Raw genomic sequence first — 19,853 nt, forward strand, 5'->3', positions numbered from 1 at the left:
GTTACTAAATATAAAAAGGATCTTACGCTTTCAAAGATTCTATTGACTTAGCTCTATTTGTAGTAGTTTTGATGATGTCACAGGTCAACACTATAACTAAACACAGACCTTAACATGTGCCTTGAAAATTTCAGGAGAAGTCTAGCTAGTTTGAATCTGTGTGTGAGGTCCATGAGCCAAGAAATACTTTCTTTTAACAAGGATGAAAATTCCCAACTAAAGTTGGTTGGGCAGAGGCTAGTGTATTTGACAAACATTTATTCAGCATCTTTCCCATTGACGATAAGAGGACAGGCTCCCAGAGTAACAGGAAGAGACAGAGAAAAACTAATAAAAGCTTACAGGGGGACTGATAGAAGAATGTGCAGAGTATAGTAAGGTCACAAAGAAGGAAATCGCTATGAGCTGGACTGGACTGCCTAGACAGCCTGAGAGCAAATCTTGGTTCTACCAGTTCCTGGTTACCAGTTTTTAGGTAAATTATATGACCTTTGTATAATTTATGCATTAATTTGTTAATGCATAGATGTGACAATAGTATTACTTCATAGTGTTATTTTGAATATTAAATGGGAAATCACTAATGCATTAATAAGGACCTTTTTGGTCATTAGTGACAAACGCATTCCAATTAGTTAAAGCATAAAAGGGAATTAATTGGCTTAAGTAATTTGGATGTCCACAGGTACATTTGGCTTTAGCCACAGATGCATCTTGGCAGTGATGCTGACAAGATATGGTCTTCATCTTTTGGCTGACTTCTTTATTAGACTTCATTCTCAGGCAGTCTTTCCCAGGGTAGTGACAAAAAATGCCTAATAGCAACCCCAGAATTTAACCCTAACAGTGGGAAGCAAATACTGCTCTACCAATAGTTCCTGTAGAAGTCCTAGGTAGAAATGTCATTGAACAGACTTCGAAAATGTTGCCATCCTTCACAAGGGTTGGGAAGGGAGATGGGACCAATCACTGAGATTGAGGAAGCAGGGATCGATACTGGCAAGGAGGAAAACACATCTACCATGTTGACATGTAGAGCTCATGACTCTTATTTTGGCTTCTGGGAATGTTGTGTATTATCTATCATTATCTATTACTGTTTTTTTTAAACCAGCCCTACTAGGTGTTAATCTTGTCCCTAAGTAAAACTGGGCTTCCAAATATAAAAGTAGTTATCAACAGAATGTGCTGAATAGCTGGATTTGAAATGGAAAAAGGAAAAGAACCATTTAAAAAGCTTCAAGTGTCTATTTTGTAAGCAGAATCCAAAGAAGCAACATTTTTATCCACATATCAGCTATTTTAATGTCCATAAAATATAGAGAATAAAAAAGGAATTCTTGAATTATGTTTCAATATAGTCACGCTTTTCTCTTCTTAAACAAGTTGATTTTTTTCCATTAAAGATGGAATAATAATATCTAGCAGTTATAGAGTGCTTATTATGTGCTAGGAACTGTTCTAACTAGTTTATTTATATTAATTCACTTAATCCTATGAGAGTGATTCTATTGTTACTGTCGTTTTACGGAGTGATACATTTGAATCACAGAGAAGTTAAGAAATTTGCCCAATTTCATGCAACTAGTAAGTGTAGAACTGCAATTCAAATACAGGTAGTCCAGGCCAGGTGTGGTGGCTCAGGCCTGTAATCCCAGCACTTTAGGAGGCCGAGGCGGGCGGATCACGAGGTCAGGAGATCGAGACCATCCTGGCTAACACGGTGAAACCCCGACTCTACTAAAAATACAAAAAAATTAGCCGGGCGTGGTGGCGGGCGCCTGTAGTCCCAGCTACTCGGGAAGCTGAGGCAGGAGAATGGCGTGAACCCGGGAGGCGGAGCTTGCAGTGAGCCAAGATCACGCCACTGCACTCGAGCCTGGGCGACAGAGACAGATTCCGTCTCAAAACAAACAAACAAACAAACAAAAAAACCCAAATCCAAGTAGTCTAGCCTTTTACCAGTATAATATATACGCTCATTTCAGAAAGTGTAAAAAATACACAACAGCAAAAAGAAATCCCTCATTATCCTATCAATGAAATATAATTACTAATGGGTTAGTGTATTTCTATCTACTTTTTAAAAATTCCTGGATTATGTTTTTTGCCTTGTTGGAATTGAACTGTATGATGTTGAATATTTTTATATTGCCTTTAATTTCCTTTACATTTCATAAGTATTTTCCCTCATCAGATAATTATCTCAAATAGTGTTTTTAATGTCTGTTTAATAGCATATAGGTATGCATCAATTAATATACTATTTTTATTGGATTTCAGATTATTTCTAATTTTTTACCCTAAAAACAACTCTGCTTGACTTTTTCTTTTATAAGTTAGTATTAGTTAACTTGTTTTAACAGATATTAGTTTTATGATTATTATTATGAATGGAAATATATGCTGTAAAAGCAAAAACAAAAAGCTTCTGTAGTGAGTTCATAGATTTTGATATCAGACAGATATGGTTTGAATCTGACTCTTACAACTCAACCAAATGTATGCCCTTGGATAAGTTATTTAATCTTTTTAAGTGTCAACTTTCTGATTCATAAAATACACAAGTAAGATAATACATAAATTCCTAGAGCATTGTGAGTCAACAAACAATTAAAATTCTGTTCATAGATATTTTTTGTTGATGGGATTTATGTAAAAACATTAATTCTTTTCTGGTTCTAGAAAATTTATAAAATATAAAAAATATGACAAAGAAAATAATATTTTCTATAATATTGCCACTAAACAGTTAATCGATGTAAATGTTTTCTTATATTTCCTCCCAGCCCCTTTTCTATGTATACGTAGATCTGCTTAAAGTGTATAAATACGTGTTTCCCTATGTGTATATATATAGTAAATAAAATAGAAATTAAACTATATGTGTATTTGAATTTCTACTTGTTTCATTTAACTTTATAATGTATTATATTCCTGTATTTTAAAATATTCTTAGACTTTTAATGGCTAGTTAGTATGCTGTCATCTTTGGAATATGCTGTAATAATAAATTATTCATTTATTTTGGACTTTTAGTTTATTCCCACTATTTTTTTAATAATGCAGTGAAGAATTTCCATTTATATAAACCAGTTATCTTCATATGTCCCGGTCTTTTAGTTTCTGAGTTTAGATGTTACCTTCTCAAAGAGACTTCTTTTCCCTATCAAATGCTGTTGTGCGTCCCTGCCAGCTGTATTCTAGCACATTACTCATTTTGTATTCTTCATAGCATTCATTACAACCTAAAATTATCTTACTCCTTTATTACTCTTACCTGCTCTTTATTATCATCATCCTTGCCTTCCTGGGAATAGGAACTCTAGCTGTACAGTGATCTGATGCCTACAATGGTGCTGGGAATGCCATTGAGGTTAATGATTATATGCACAGGCTCTGGAGCTGGTCAACCTGGGTTTAAATCCTGCTCAACAATTTACTTGAGTATGTTACTCCACCTCCTTTAGGCTCCATTTTATTGCCCATAACATAAAGATAATCATAGTACCTACCTTATAGAGTAGCTGTGAGAATTAAACGAATTAGTACAAGTAAAACATTTAGAATAGAAGCTAACACATGATTAAAACAAAAACACATATAGCACTTCATAATATGTGCCAGGCACTGTTGTAAGCACTTTATAAATGACAACTCATTTAATCCTCACAACCAAATTATCATTGTTTCCATTTTCACATGAGAAAACTGAGACATAGTTGGGTTAAGTGACTTTGCCCGGGATCGAGTTAGTGAGTGGCAGAGCCAAGATTTAAAAATACCTCAGCAATCTGGCTTCAGAGTCCATGCTCTTAATTACGGCGTTATGTTGCCCAAGGCACTTGGTAAGTGTTAGTTGTTATTATTAGACTAAGTACTCAATACATTAGATAAATGAATGAAATAAAATATCTCTGATTAATTTCTTAGGATTTAGTTCCAGAACTGAAATTATTAAACACTTGGTTAGAAAGAAATGGTAATGAATAGTTTTAAAGCTGCTAATATATGTTTCCAAAAAGATGCTGGAGGTCAGGAAACATGTTAAGACATTTGATGTCACAATGCCAAAGCACATGTGATACACCATAGGATACTTAGTAAGTGTTTCACAAACGTGTAAATAGCCCTTCTAAAAGGGCTATATCAGCATATACTATCACACAAAATATGGAAATATGTTCATTTCACCAGGTCCTTTTTGAAAATGAGTACCATAATTTTATTATCTTTTTCAGTTTGATAGGCAAAAAAATAGTTTCTCATTTTTCCCATTCTCATCTTTATTATTCTCTGAGTTCCTTAATTCAACAAATATTAATTGTATGTCTACTGCACTATGTTTCAGACAAATATTGGAAACATATTATTTAACAAAATCCCTGAACAAGACTCACATACTTGCCTCATGGGTTTGTTGTGATGATTAAAGAATACAGATAAATATCTTAGAAACATGCAACTACCTGAGCCGAGATCCCGCCACTGTACTCCAGCCTGGGCAGCAGGGTGAGATCCCGTCTCAAAAAAAAAAACAAAAGCACTACAGTAGGGAAAAGAGGGGATAGGGAGAGGTTTGTTAAATAATACAAAATTACAGTTAGAAAAAAATAAGTTCTAGTGTTCTATGGCACTGTAGGATGCCTATAGTTAATAATAATATGTAGTTTCAAATAGCTAGACAGAGGACACTGAATGTTGTCAACACAAAGAAATGATAAATGTTTGAGATGATGATATGCTAATTACTCTCATCTGATTAGTATACATTATATGTATTGCAGCATCACTCTGTACCCCATAAATATGTACAATTGTTATGCATCAACTTAAAAAAGTAAAAAATAGAACAAATTGAGTTCAGTGTATACCGCTCAAATGTTGGGTGCACTAAAATCTCACAAATCATGACTAAAGAACTTACTCATGTAACCAAATGCCACCTGTTCCCCAAAAAACTATGGGAAATTAAAAAAAAATTAAAAAAAACCACTACAGATGGATTGGGACAGGTAGATGACAGGTAGGTAAAATTGTATAAAGGCAACTGCCCTGGGCAGTGTTGCCATGCTAAAGATGAAAGAGGTTGAAGTTTAGGACCTGCAAGGGTGAAGTGGCTCAGATGAACACGGGAAGCTTTCATTTGTGCTCCTTCAACAGTTAAATTTCAAGACTAAAGGCTAAACTTGGAAATAAGGGCAAACCAGAAATAGATTGGCCTTCATGATGACAGAAACATAGCCTTGACTGGAACAAGATAATCTGCATTTACTTTGCATGTCAGAAGAAATGAAATCTTTTCTGGTTTGGATATCATCCAGAACCTAAATGTTGTCATATGCAATGTCCAGTATGTAGTCATAAATTACCAAAACACCAAGAATATCAAGAAACAAAATCAAATTGATGAAAATTAAGAAATAAAATAAATAATAAAAGCAGAACCATAAATTACCCAGAAATTGAAGTTATTAGACATAGACTATTAAATAACTAGTATTAAAATGTTCAAGAAAACAGAGGAACATGATATATTTTAACAGAGAGCTGGAGTCTATAAAAGTGAATAAACAGAAAGAGTACATTTATAGGTAAATTAGGTGAAATCTGAATAAAATCTGGGATTTGTTATTAACGATCCAGCTGGTCCTTGACTTAGGATGGTTCGACAGTTTTTTTGAATTTACAATGGTGTAAAGGCAATATGCATTTAGTAGAAACTGTTCTTAGAACTTTGAATTTTGAAATTTTCCTGGATTAGTGATATGCACTATGATACACTTGAGATGCTGGGCAGCAGCAGTGAGCTACCACTCCCAGTCAGCCACATGATCATGAGAAAAAACAACCAATACCCTCTAGGGTCCTGTGTTTCCAGTTGATTTTGCCCAACTATAGGGTAATATAAGTGTTCTGAGAGTATTTAAGGTAGGCTAGGCTGAGCTATAATGTTCAGTAGCTTAGGTGTGTGTTAAATGAATTTTCAGCTCATGATATTTTCAACTTACAATGGGTTTATTCGGACATAACCCCATCTTAAGTGGAGAAGCATCAGTGTAACAGTGTTATTTTCTCAGTTTTGACAAATGGGCAATGGTAATGTAAAATGTTAACAATTTGGGAAGCTAGCTGAGGGATATAGAGGAACTCTCTGTACTGTCTTTATGACTTTATTATATATCTAAAAATATTTACCTCTGATATATTTCAAGCCATTTATACATAAAGTACATAAGGGTAGGGATTTTGGCTTGTTTTGATCATTGATGTTTCTATGATAACTTGAGTTATGCCTGACTCCTATAGGTACTCAAAAGATACTTGTTGATTACATTAGTCTTTATATTTGTATGTTTGTTTTTATTAGTTTCTTTTATTATTGTTATAATTTTACTTATTTGAGTTGCTTTTGGCTTATTCTATTCTTTTTGTAAATTCTTAAGTTTGAGGCCCATTTAGATAATTAATTTTTATATTTTCTTTGTTCTAGTATATGTTTCTAAGCCTTTAAATTATTCTCTAATTTCTGTATTGTCATAATTTTAATATAGAATATTTCCATTATTATATGTGTAAATATTTTCTAATTTTTATTAGAATTTTGTTTTTGACCAAAAGTTCTTAAGATTGGGCATTTCAGAATTTCCAAACTTACCAGGTTTTCAAAGCTATCTTTTTATTATTGATTTCTAACTTTTTGGAAATACAATGAAAATAATTTCTTTGGTTAGTATTTTCATAGTACATCTTTTTTAAAATTTTAATTTTAAGCTATGCTCTGCCTTTAGGTTTGGGGCATATCTCTGTTAAATAGCATATAGCTCAATATTTTCCTTTAAATCCTATCTGACAATCCACGCTTTTACCATAGTAATGACATATTTAGATTTATTTTTATTTATTTTTGTACTGTTTGTTCCACTTTTTCTGTTTTCTTCTCTTTTAACCATTTTTGAATTGATACAAGTTTTTCCCCTTTCATTCCATTCTCCCCCTTCTGCTAGTTTGGAAGTTTCTCATTCTGCATCAATTGAACTTTTCTTCCTCTGCATTTGATAGTGAATTTCTGACCTGATGCCCAATTCTTTCTAATTTTTTTGTGTGTATTTCCTATAAGCAGTGAAATTCTCCTATATTACCACAACACAATAATCAAAAATCAGGAGATTAACAATGATGCATTACTACCATCAAATCTCCAGACCACATCCAAGTTTCACAGGTGGATACCACCAGATATTCCCCATATGTCTTTTAGGTGAAAATGATGCAGTTCGGGATCACAGGTTGGCTTCACTTACTACTTTGGTTCCCATGTTACTTTTGTTTCCTTCAGTCTAGGACAGTTCCTCAGTTTATCCTTGTTTTTCATGACCTAAACACTTTTGAAGGTTATAGGATGCCCCTCAATTTGGACTTGTCTGATGCCTCCTCATGATCACATTCAGGCTATGCATTTTTATTCAGGTTATACATCTTTGGCAGGAATAACATGGAGTGATTCTTCTCATTGCATCCTATCAGGTGGCATGGCAGCTTGATTTGTCCAATTACTGATGATAATGTTCACTTGACTAAGGTGGTGTCTGCCAGGCTTCTTTAGTGTAATTATTCTTTCCACTTTGTATATAATGAGTGGGAAGTGCTTTGAAACTCTATATTCCATCAAACGTTCCATTTAGTATTATTTTATGTATGGACCCATGGTTTCTCATTTTTTTCCAATGGGATGTATTTGTCATTATCAACACTTATTTAGATACTGTGGTTGTACCCAGTGGGGTCAGTGGGAGCCTCTTGAACTTGGCTTTTATGTCTTTTTGACATGTCCCCAACCTTCTTTGAACATTTTTCTGCTTTCTGACAAATTAAGTTATTCCAGGTTCATCTTGTACTCTCTCTACCCCAATAATGAACTCATTTATTTCTCTGAGTCCTCATAGACATATATTCACACACTTCTCTATTTTTCTCTATATATTTACTTGCATGTTAAAAACTGTGATTAGTAATGATACTTTCAATTCCAATCCAACACCAAATAGTTCATTCACTCTTTCCATGTTTATAAGTCTCTTCTGACTGTGAGACGCTTGCTTCCCATTAACTTTATTACACGTTTACTTACTAATCACTTTCTGTATAATCAATCTTTGTAATCAATCTCCCATCGCCTTAGAAAGGAAGTGCTCGTGATGGGAGATTGATTATATTCCTTCCTTTCCATGCTAAGCTGCCAGTGTGCAAAGATGCCCTCCTCATCTTGAACAGGCTCTGACATCCTCTTCCTGTCCTTTTCTGGTATGGATACCCCCTTCTCCCAGCTTCAGCTCTGATCTCCCATGGTGGGCTATCCCCCTCGATGAATGCTGTCTTCACCCTGCTCAGGCTCTGATATCCAGTCCTGAGATACCTCTCTGCTGGGATGCCTTTCTTACCTTTAGCTTCTAGACCCCATATGGACATTCTCATGTGCCTCTGCATGGATGTTCTCCTTACCTCACTGTGGCTCTAATTTCCCATATAGAAGGACTATCCTTCTATCTAGACCATTTATTTCTCTACCTGGGCTCTGATAACCTTTTCTGGGTCTTTGTAAGTCCCCCTGGTTTGCTCCTCCCCAAATTCTTAGTTTTAGAACAAAAATACAGAAAGAGCTGAAAATCTACTCTAAAAATTTTAACATGTGTACTTAACCTAACAAAATCTAAATTTAATCAGTATCTTTATCCTTCTCACTAACAGTATAGATGCTTTAAAATACTTTACGTCTGATAACCTTCTCCCCTTACTTGTATGCTATAATTCAGTTTTTAGTTCTCCTTGCATTTTTATACCAGCTCTTTGGGGTAATATTTGTCTGGTGGACCCTCTTCTATCTTTTAACTTTTACCTATTTGCACATTTCCTGATAATCTTACAGGGCATTGAGGTTCAAGAAAATCATATAAGGCTTTGGACCTCACTTTCATTATTTTCCAATTTGAAGAAGCGTAGATTAATCTTTCAAGGTTTTATTTTAACTCAAAAATTCTAGAGATCACACCAACTGTGTGAGATATTATATGTGAAAACAATTCAAAGTGGAAAATGCTACACAAAGGGGACATATTAAACATGAAGGTAATCAAAGTATGGTTAGTTTCCTTTGCCTCTTGTGATATGATTCATACTGCTGTGGTACACAGCATAAGCCAAGAAAATAGATTGCTCAAAGCACTGCATACAGAGGAAAAAGCCCTGATAATGACTTAGGGAAGGTTTGTACTCACTTATTAATCATTTCATATCATCTGCATTTTGGTTCTACACCTGGTATTGTCATGAACCCTTTCTGAGTTGCCCTTGCATTTCCTAGTTTTTACCTTCTCCAACACAATAAGAGTTAATTGTAGCAGACATTCAGCAAATACTTGTAGATTGAGCCAGTTTGAATTTTCTTCTCACTCACTGAAACTGAGAGTTGCCCCACTTTGAGATCTATTGGTATAAAAGGTGCCATATCTATGTGCAGCTTCATCATCATTATGTTATTAAGCATCATCCGTCTATTCATTCATTTAGTGTTGATTGAGTACCTGTCGTGTATAGGCATTGTGCTGAGTTCTGTGTGTCCAGTGATAAAAAAGAAAAGATCTCTGGTGCCTAAGCTCACAGACTAGTGGAGGAGTCACACATGTATTCACAATACAATGTGCTAAGTGTTTCACAATACAATGTGCTAAGTGTTATAATATGCTCAGATAAAAAAGTGAGAAAATTAATTGTAAATATTTTATAGGGTCAGAATGAGATAGTCAATTTAAAGAACTTAGAATAATGCCTTAGATGTAGTAAGTGATCAGAATGTGAGATATCATTATCACTATTATTATTAAGGAAATAATGGTACATGAGGCCAGACATGGTGGCTCAAGCCTGTAATCCCAATACTTTGAGATTGCTTGTGCCCAGGAGTTCAAGACCAGCCTGGGCAACATAGTAGAACACTGTCACTATCAAAAAACAAACAAACCAACCAACAAACAGTAGTGTGCATGGTGAAGCGCACATGTAGTCCCAGCTACTTGAGAGATTGAGGTGGGAGGATAGCTTGAGCACTGGAGGGTTGAGGCTGCAGTGACCTGAGATCGTGCCACTGCACTCCAGCCTGGATGATAGAGTGAGACTCTGTCTCACACACAAAAATAGTAGGGAGCGGGACATGAAGCTGGAAAGGTAGTTAGGGGATAGAGATATAAGAATTTGGATTTTATTCTACAGATAATGGTGAATCTTTAAAGGAATTTAAGCAGAGGAAAGATATGGTCAGATTTGTTGTTTGGGAAGGACCCCAGCCATTATGTGTAGCATGAAACAGAGGTAATGAGACTACAGTCGAGTCCAGTTTGCTCATTCATTCACTTCTTCATGTAACAATGAATTGACTGATTGCCAACTGCTATACAATCATCTAAGCAAAAGATAATAAGAGCCTGAATGAGAACAGAAGGAAATGAAGACAGAGGAGGCGCTGGATTTGGGAGACATTTGCAAGAAGATGTGCCAAAACTTGATGCCTGAATACATATACAGAGAGAGATATTTAGACTGATTTTTAAGTTTATGGCTTGAACATTTGGGTTGGGAAAATATTACAGTAGGAGCCAGTCTTGTGAAAGAAGAAACTGAATTCAGCCTTGAGCAGGGTTGGCCTGAACAAGGAGGTGATAGAGCCATGGGAGATAATGAGATTGCCTAGGGAATAGAGTATGGTGGGCACCCCCCATGGAACATAGCTATTTAAGCCATTGTGGAGAAAGGGAGGTCAGTAAAGAGAATTGAGCAAAATTGTCCTGAAGGAAAATTAAGGAGAGAGCGATGACTAACAAAAAAGTGTGGCTTACATGGTCAAATTGTACAAAGAAGTCAATTAAGTAGAAGCTTTCAGTTTGATTAGGACCTTGAATGTAATGAGAGATCAAAGGATCTATAGTTTTAGTAAAGGGGTGCAGGTGGAGCCAAGCTTGCAGGGAGACAGCAAGTGAAGGCAAGGTGAAGAAGAGGGCAGAGTGAACGGAGACTAGTGTTTCAGGCAGTGGCTCTTAACCAGGCATGGTTATGGTTCCCAGGGAACATGGGACAGTGTCTGGAGAAATCTTTGATTTTGATGGCTGGATGTGCTACTGGAATCCAGGGGATACAAACCAGAGATGCTACCACACACCTACAGTGCACAGCACAGCTCTCAACAACTATGTATTATCTAACCCAAAATGTCAATAATGCTGAGGTTGAGAAATCTTTTATAAATACAGGAAGGAGAATAAAGAGTAAGTAGAGTAACTGTTAACACTGAAAAATGAATGGGTAAAGAATGAGGGCCACCGGGGGAATCTCTATTAAGACAAAAAGAAGGGAACAATGTAGAAGGAACAATTGATGAGTAATTGAAGGGAACAATTCTGGAGGGGATGACAGAAGGAACCAGGGGCACAATTCTCTGGATCAGATTAACCAGAGGTTGGATACCTTCTCTCTGAACAAGAGGGAAGGAAGTTAAACTTAAGTATGGATATAGACATATTTTGTACATTGTGAGGAAGAGAAGGTAAAGTGTTGAAGCTTTTGCTATTGAATTTTGATCCTATCATGACATCTTTTTATGAATCTGATCCATGCATGTTAGATTGAGACTCATAAAATGCAATACATAGAGTTACAAAGGAAATCAATTATGTTGTAACGTGGTTAGCAAAATATTTACAAAGTTAGCGATATAGTAATATATATGCTTCTTTACTAACACATTAAATAACAAGATCTAGTAATGTGTTTAATAACTACCATAATTTTGAAGTAATTACAAATGGAAATAATATTTTGAGAAATCTGCAACAATTGTAATAGAATACAAAAATATCACTGATTTCACTCGGTGACAAAATCACAGATTTCGCTGTTATCACCATATGCTGCCTGCATTCCTAATGATGGAAATGCTCAAATTCTGCTAACAATTACTGAAAATAAAACCACAATGTTTTCCCCATTCAAGTTCATAGAATCCCTGAGTTCTTAAGCACGAACCCTGGGTTAAGAAAACCTTCTCCTGACTATCTCTTACTGTCAATCCCACTTCTCTGTTTTCTTTCCTTGCTGTTTGTTTCTAGTCTTTTTCATCCTCTTCCATTCTGACTTTATCCCTTGGTTCACAAGGTTATTTACCTGGCACCTGGGGTTAACCACTAGGTTTTGGATTTTGATTTTAGCAGGTCCTTAAATGTCTTGGCTGACATTCACACTTTTCTTGCATGTGAATTACGATAGTTTCTCTCTGGTGAAGGTACTGGTTCTATAGTAAGTGGTGCCTGCCACCCTGTGTTCATCCTTAGTCATGTGGTCCACTGGGTCGGAGAGCCCATCACCGTCTTTAGTTTGGCTGAGTAAAAGGACCACATACTTTCTTCTCTCAGAATGTGGGGCAGGGTCATCTGCTACAGTGAATGGAGCCAGGTTTCAGAAGAGCCCATGAGGGAAGATGTGAGTGGGAGCTGGCTCAGGACAGATTGAGAAATGGTGTAGAGAATTCAGCTGAGATCAGAACTGCAGTGGCACCAATCTGAAGGGTCATATGATTCTCTTCAGCTGTGCTGGAGAGAAGTCTCAGTGGCAGTCTCCATGGCATAGACAAGATGGATTACTGAAGGAATCTGGAGTTGGAGGTTAGCAGGGCTTGGGGGGTAGGGAGGGTGGGTCTGTGGCAGAAGGCAAAGGGCTAAGGAAATTAAAGGTGCTGACAAGAAAGAGGTTGAAATGCTGCACCATGGGGTCCTGGCTCAGTAGGGAAGGAAATCAAACCAGGGGGAGCTGATGGACTAGCAGAGAATGGAAGGATCAAGGGAGTGGAGGTCTTGTTGAGGTCAGCATGCTGGTGAAAAATTGGAACAGGGTGTGAGAGAGTGGACCTCCTTCTCTTCATACCAGTTTCTGCATGACTGTAATTAGTGTTCTTGTCATGGCCCTCCCTAGTGTACATTTTAATGACAAAAAACATTATTACAAATGGACACTAAATGTGCCATTAAAATAGTTCTGCCCTACATTCAAATATGCTCAATGAAACGTACCAGACTCAATTGACTATTGGAATGAGAAAGAAAGGAGAAATATAGGGAGCTAGCCAAAAAACCTAAGTCACTTTTTGTAAATAGCTTAAAACCATTAAATAAATTAAGCTGCTGTGGGTATATGCACACATTTCATGGAGTTCCAATTTAGCAATTACTGTTCCTGCAGCAAAATCAATAAAATATGCATCCACAATCATACGGAGAAAACACATCAAGGGACTTCAAGTTTGAGTCTTGATTCAGAAAATATTTTTAAATAAGGTAAATGAATTAAAATGTATCAGGTTCAGCACTGGACTGTGGTTGGTAGAAATATTATTTTTGATACTTTTAGTTTTGAATCGGCTGTAGTACATGGTTCAAAGAGCAAAATGTATTCGAAGTCTGTCAGGGTATTGTGAAAGTGATGAAGACCATGCATAAGGATAGGGCTTGGGCTAGTCTCTCATTTTGAAACAAATCTATGAGATTTCTTATGATGACCTATGTAGGCACACGATGTGACAATGCTGCATTACCGACATTATAGAGTGATTTTTAATTTACAAAGGGCTTTAGCCTTCCTCCATTTAACATACTTTTATTAAGCACCTACTGTATACTTGACAGACAATGGAAATGAGTGTTGTTTCTTTCTCTCTTTAACATATAAAGTGCTCTTCAAAGTTTGCTCACATATACTTTTTAAGAGAATTTTGAAAGATTTAGTATCCCCTTTTAGATTTAAAGTATAAATAGAGTAGTTGAATGGATGGATTTTCACCATATTGTAAATATTGACCTTTTAAATAAAATATTGTAAGTATTGAACTTTTAAATAAAATTGTTACATCACCTTTTAAAATGCATTCAATGGAATCTAAATACTGATTGGATATCAACCATCACCTATTTAAAGATACACAAACAAACTCTCCTTTAACAGACTGAACGTTTACATCATTTATTTATTTTTCTTTTGAAGTCATTTTCCATACCACTTTCCCCAGTGAATTTTATCTTTATGTAATACATTTTATGCATGAAGGTGTTATGGACCATTATATCATGATTCTCTGCTACAAAATATGTATATACAGTGATATTTTAATTAAATTTTTTCTTCTAGCCATCAAGCTATAAATTTTAAAATACTGACTGAATTATTTTTATGACTATTAATAGTACCAATTGGTCAAAATAACATAAACATATTATGTATTTTGATAAATAATTTAAAAAGACAAATTTTTATTGAAACTGCATCTCCTATAAGATGGCTGGGACTATATATATTTTTTTAGTTCAATTAAATTTTATTTCAATTGAATTGTGGATACCCCCGTATTGCTAGAATGAGACAAGGGTTCAGTATAATTTCTATTCCTAGTTTTAATTTTCATAAATAAAAACACTAAAATTTTCTTTAGTAAATAAGATGAGAAGGAAAAAAGTTTTGTTATAGCAAGATTTCTCAATCGTCTAAAATCCTGATGTATACCCAACCTAATAATAAAAAATTACTTTTAATGATCCATTAACTGTCAATTCAATTAAATCTTTCTTCAATGTGGCTGAGAGAGAAGTATTGGAAATTTAGTGACAGGCACAAATGGTTTCCAGTTCTGTTTGGCATCCTTGAGGTCTTTATGCCCTTGGGCCATGCACTTTTGGTAAGATTAGAAAAGAAACACGTATTTTTTTTTTTTTTGTAAGAAGGGAGAAATAAAAGAGAAAGTGAGAAATAAGAGTTTGTTCCTTTTCAATGAGATTTCTCTCAGGTAACGTTAGTTTTAGGAAAAACTATACATAAAAGTTGAGGATCTGGAAGTTGACTTACTTAAAACCTCCCTTGACATATCTTTTGGAAAGTCCTTGTATATTACTGGAGGCACCCGTATTCCAGACCACTGGTGTATTTGACCTCCTGTAGAAAGAACACGTTCAAAACCAGGTCACCAGATAGGTGCAAAGCCAAAGGCAAGGAATAACAGCACAGAAGGAGTAGTCACAAAACCAGGCAAGATGAGAGTGAGGAGGAGGGGACACACCAGCCAGGGAGAAATACCTGAAGGCCTTTCACACTGAGAGAGTTGTGGACTTTTTATGTGGTCCTGTACAGGCTTCCCGAAGTGGACCAGGTTCATTGAAAATGGCCAGAAAAACACAAGATCACCATAAGGTGCAATTTATCAAGTCTTCTTAGTATATTACATCACTATCATTTATTTATATGCCTACTGTATATGTCAAGATCTAAGATGGCCAAGAATAAGATGATATCCTGGTCAAGACCACAGGCTTTACAGGCAGAGCACTTTACTTATTTGTTTGTTTTTTTATTTTGAGACGGACTTTAACTCTTGTTGCCCAGGCTGGAGTGCAATGGCGCCATCTCGGCTCACTGCAACCTCTGCCTCCTGGGTTTAAGGAATTCTCCTGCCTCAGCCTCCCGAGTAGCTGGGATTACAGTTGCCTGCCACCATGCCTGGTTAATTTTTCGTAGAGATGGGGCTTCACCATGTTGGCCAGGCTGGTCTCGAACTCCCAGCCTCAGGTGATCCACCCACCTCAGCCTCCCGAAGTGCTGAGATTACAAGTGTGAGACACTACACCCGCCCTCCTTAATTTGAATCCCAATTGCAACTAGTTCATGAACTCAGGCAAGTTTCTTAACTGTTTTAACTATCACCTTGTCATGTCTTCTAATAATTGTACCTAGCCCAGGTGGTTATAGTAAGAATTAAATACAATAAGTAAAGCTATGAACACAATGCCAGGTCATTCAACATTTATTCAACCAAAAATACTAAGTCAGCTCTATACAAACTAATGGAAGGATACAGCTATGCAAATATAGAAGAACACTAAAGTGTTACATGACAGATGTATGAGGTAGGTATTATTTTCATGCGCGTCCGTGTGAAGAGACCACCAAACAGGCTTTGTGTGAGCAACATGGCTGTTTATTTCACCTGGGTGCAGGCGGGCTGAGTCTGAAAAGAGAGTCAGCGAAGGGAGATAAGGGTGGGGCCGTTTTATAGGATTTGGGTAGGTAAAGGAAAATTACAGTCAAAGGGGATTTGTTCTCTGGTGGGTAGGAGTGGGGGTCGCAAGGTGCTCAGTGGGCAGGAGTGGGGGTCGCAAGGTGCTCAGTGGGGGAGCTTTTTGAGCCAGGATGAGCCAGGAAAAGGACTTTCACAAGGTAATGTCATCAGTTAAGGCAAGGACTGGCCATTTACACTTCTTTTGTGGTGGAATGTCATCAGTTAAGGTGGGGCAGGGCATATTCACTTCTTTTGTGATTCTTCAGTTACTTCAGGCCATCTGGGCCTATACGTGCAAGTCACAGGGGATGCGATGGCTTGGCTTGGGCTCAGAGGCCTGACAATTATTAATCCCATTTTACAGGTGGGGAAGAGGAGGTTACAGGAATTTGAGCTATGTGCTTATGGTTACCAGCCAGTAAGTGACAGAGCACAGACTTGACTCAGAACGTTGGACTCCTTGTAGCCTCTTCAAGTGTGTAGTGACAGCACACTGCTGGGTCCCGTAGACTAAAATATTATGCATCATTCCAGCTGAGAGAACAGTTCTGGACGTACATTCACCACTGACTGCCTGCAGCCAAGCCTTTTGGTTCCTGGCCTCTAAATGTCTCGTCAGCTCTGTGGGCCAGGGAGAACATCCTCCTAAGCATGAAGGGCATTCCAAGGTCAACAAAGCACTTCAGGCTCCATAAAGAAAGCAGCTATATAAATGGGGGTTCTTGTTAAGATAATAAAGCTCAAAAGGCCACTTTTAAAAAGAGAGGTCACCTGGAGGGTTACCAGGAAAAGCCAGATGCCCCAGATGTGCTATTTAACCTCCAGTTTTTATAAAATATACACATACTATAGGAATGTATGTTTAATTATTTTACTTTTAGAAAATGATGACTCTAACATTGTTTAAATAAATTAACTCAATTCCTATTATTAGAAGCAAAGTGTCTTGCATTTTACAGGTGCTGAGTCTGGTAGGAATGGATTAACCAGAGGCTCATTAAATGTATCACCACTGTTGGCCAAACCATATAAACTCTTTGGAGTATGAGATGGTTCCAACCGTCTACTGTTGTGCATTAATAGTGGAGAGTGCCTCAGTGTATTTCCTTGTTTTGAATAAATTGTGGTATTAAATTCACAGCCTTCCTTCATCAGAAAGGGAAAATGATTTGACCTTCACATTCTTCAGAGCTGAACTCAAACTTTGGAGGCACACTTCAAAGCTCTGTAAATAATATGAGTAACACTTTGGACCCTTCTGGGGTGGGAGGGAAATTCCCTTTCTGAAGAACACCCAAGTCTTTAAAAAGAAATGGTCAGGTTTAAATATCTCACTATTTTTCTTGTTTGAGACTCCATGCTGAGGATTTTATTTTCCTTTGCAAAGCTTATGCTGCCCAAGCTGCTTTCTCAGAGGTCGGCTGGCGTTGGTGCTCAGGGCCTGCTTGCAGATTTCGCTGGAACAAGTTTATTTGTAGTATAGCCCGGGGCGGGTTGAAGATTCCATTATGATGCGGGAGGCTCCCCTAGTTTGGAATATCAATGGCACTTCAAAGGGCTGGAGCTGTGAATTAGCAGCCAGGCTTCTTCTCAGGCCCTAGAATAGAATAAAATAACACGAAGAGATGTGTTTCAAGATAGAAAGAGTGGAGTATTTTCTTCTAGGGCTCTAATTGTAAAGTGGGCACTCCAAGTCTTCATGGATATCCTGGCGTCTCTCAGGGCACCGGAGGCTGTCATGGATTTTGCAGAAACCCCTCAGATCTCCCCGACTGAAATCTTAAACACAGTGCTGGGCACTTCCCATTCTGCCAAGTTCTCCAGCTTCCTTGATGTTAACCCCTACTGAGCCTTGGAAAAAGGGTAACTCAAAGCTGTTTAGCCTAATTTATTTATTGCCAAAAGGCCAAACACCATATTAATTTCAAGGTTTCTCAAGTATTCTATTTTCCTAAAACTTCACCTTCTTGTCTTCTCCTCCTCTGTCTGCCCTACGGTGAAAATAGGGGAGAAAGGAAGTTAGGGTTTTTTCCTCATGTCTCTAATGTGAATCAGCAACAGTCTGGCTACAGTCAGGCAAACAAAACAAAAGAAAACTGAAGACTGAGCCCTCTCATCATTTTGCTATGTGATTATGTTTAAGTAGCTCCAGGAGGACAATCAATTTAACTTAGAATATACTGAAGATTTACAGCTCTAGGAATTGCCACTCTGTGCTTATGCTTCTCTCTCCAATTGTATTTTTTTTAAATGAAAAATATGCATAGTAGTAAGGCCCCAGATTGCATGAGTACAGGTATAGATCTGTGCCTGGCTAATTGTCATGGTCATGGTTATTCACCCAGTCCTGGTGATTTTCTAATGCCTTGAACATAGTTTTGGCTGCTCCGACTCCTCTTCTTTAGGAAAGGTCTACACTTCCAAAAGCAAGATAGGAAAGGGGAAAGTACTCTGAACTGGGACTGGGGGTGATCACCTGACCTCACTGGTCCGTGATTTTTCTCATCCACCCCCCATCCCCCCCACTACACACCTCCTGGCTTTCTGTTGACTGGAGTTCAGTGGTGTACCCACAATAGACTTGATGACCCTTTAAAAATGGGGTTGTCTCTGGTTTTCATTCATTTATGCTGTCTGGCTCTTTCTGCAGGGATTTTGATTTGCAGCCTCTGGCCCAGAATCTCCCCTCTAGGCCTTCACCCTATGGGTTTGCCTGGAATATTCTTTCTCTCTGTTTACTTGGTTGACTTTACAAAGATTTTTTTGTTTGACCAAACTTTAGTTAGCTTCTTGAAACTTCTCCTAGGCCCATCTGTGCACTTTCTTGTAAAATCCAGCTTTAGCAAAGAACGCTGCTAAGTCAGTTTAGTGAGAATCCTCCATCTTCAATATCGGATCCCCTTGCTATCTTATTGGGTTCTTCAACCTCCATCATCTCCCGGGTGACATCTGATTGCCCTGGTCTTTCTTCAGCAAGAATCCTATTAGGTCAGTTTAGCCAGAACATACCTCACGCCTGATGTTTTCTCTTAGTAATTTTCTGTCCACTAAGCCCCACCCTGCTTCTTGGTCATAAATTACCATTTGTCCATGCTGTATTTGAAGTTGAATCCAATCTCTCTTCGCCACTGCAAAATCCCATTGCCACGGTCCCTATATCTATTGCCAGGGTCCTGATAAAGTCTGCCCTACTATGCTTTAACAAATATCATTGAATGTTTTTTTCTATAGCACTCTAAATAAGGTCCTTCAGGTCTTAGCTTTTGTCTTTCTTCCTCTGCATTCTCTTAGCATCTTGCATCTTCCCATCATAGCTCATACTGAGCTGCCTAATTATTTATGGGTTTCCTCCCTGGGCTGCAAGCTTTATGAGAGCAGAGATTACATCTGTTTTGTTCATTATTATACTTGGACTACCTAGCACAGCACTTGGAATCTACCAGGTGCTCAACAATGTTTTGCATTAATTAATGAACTAATAAATCAGTTAGTTAATGTGAGCCTTGAACTTTACTCTGAATTTCAGGAGATCATCGAAAAAAAATTCTCCCAATATTTCTCTGCAAAATTTTAAGGATATTGAAATGTTGAAAGAATAATACAATGAGCAGCCCCGTAGCCTCCACTTAGATTCAACAATCATATTTTTTGCTATGTGCTTTAATCTCTTTCTGTATAGAAATGGATGACTTTTGCTGAACTATTAGAAAGT

At 37.2% G+C, this 19,853-nt stretch overlaps 2 annotated features.

The window, feature by feature from the left end:
• Positions 15,835–16,446: an enhancer, noted in NCBI's record as "OCT4-NANOG-H3K27ac hESC enhancer chr4:84771005-84771616 (GRCh37/hg19 assembly coordinates)". NCBI's record gives its function as "activates a minimal SCP1, AML or CMV promoter by ChIP-STARR-seq in naive H9 embryonic stem cells {active_cell/tissue: H9 hESC(naive)}" and the evidence as "EXISTENCE:reporter gene assay evidence [ECO:0000049][PMID:30033119]".
• Positions 16,447–17,058: an enhancer, noted in NCBI's record as "OCT4-NANOG-H3K27ac hESC enhancer chr4:84771617-84772228 (GRCh37/hg19 assembly coordinates)". NCBI's record gives its function as "activates a minimal SCP1, AML or CMV promoter by ChIP-STARR-seq in naive H9 embryonic stem cells {active_cell/tissue: H9 hESC(naive)}" and the evidence as "EXISTENCE:reporter gene assay evidence [ECO:0000049][PMID:30033119]".

The sequence above is a fragment of the Homo sapiens genome, chromosome 4 (assembly GCF_000001405.40).
Source record: "Homo sapiens chromosome 4, GRCh38.p14 Primary Assembly".
In the NCBI taxonomy this organism is placed as follows: domain Eukaryota; kingdom Metazoa; phylum Chordata; class Mammalia; order Primates; family Hominidae; genus Homo; species Homo sapiens.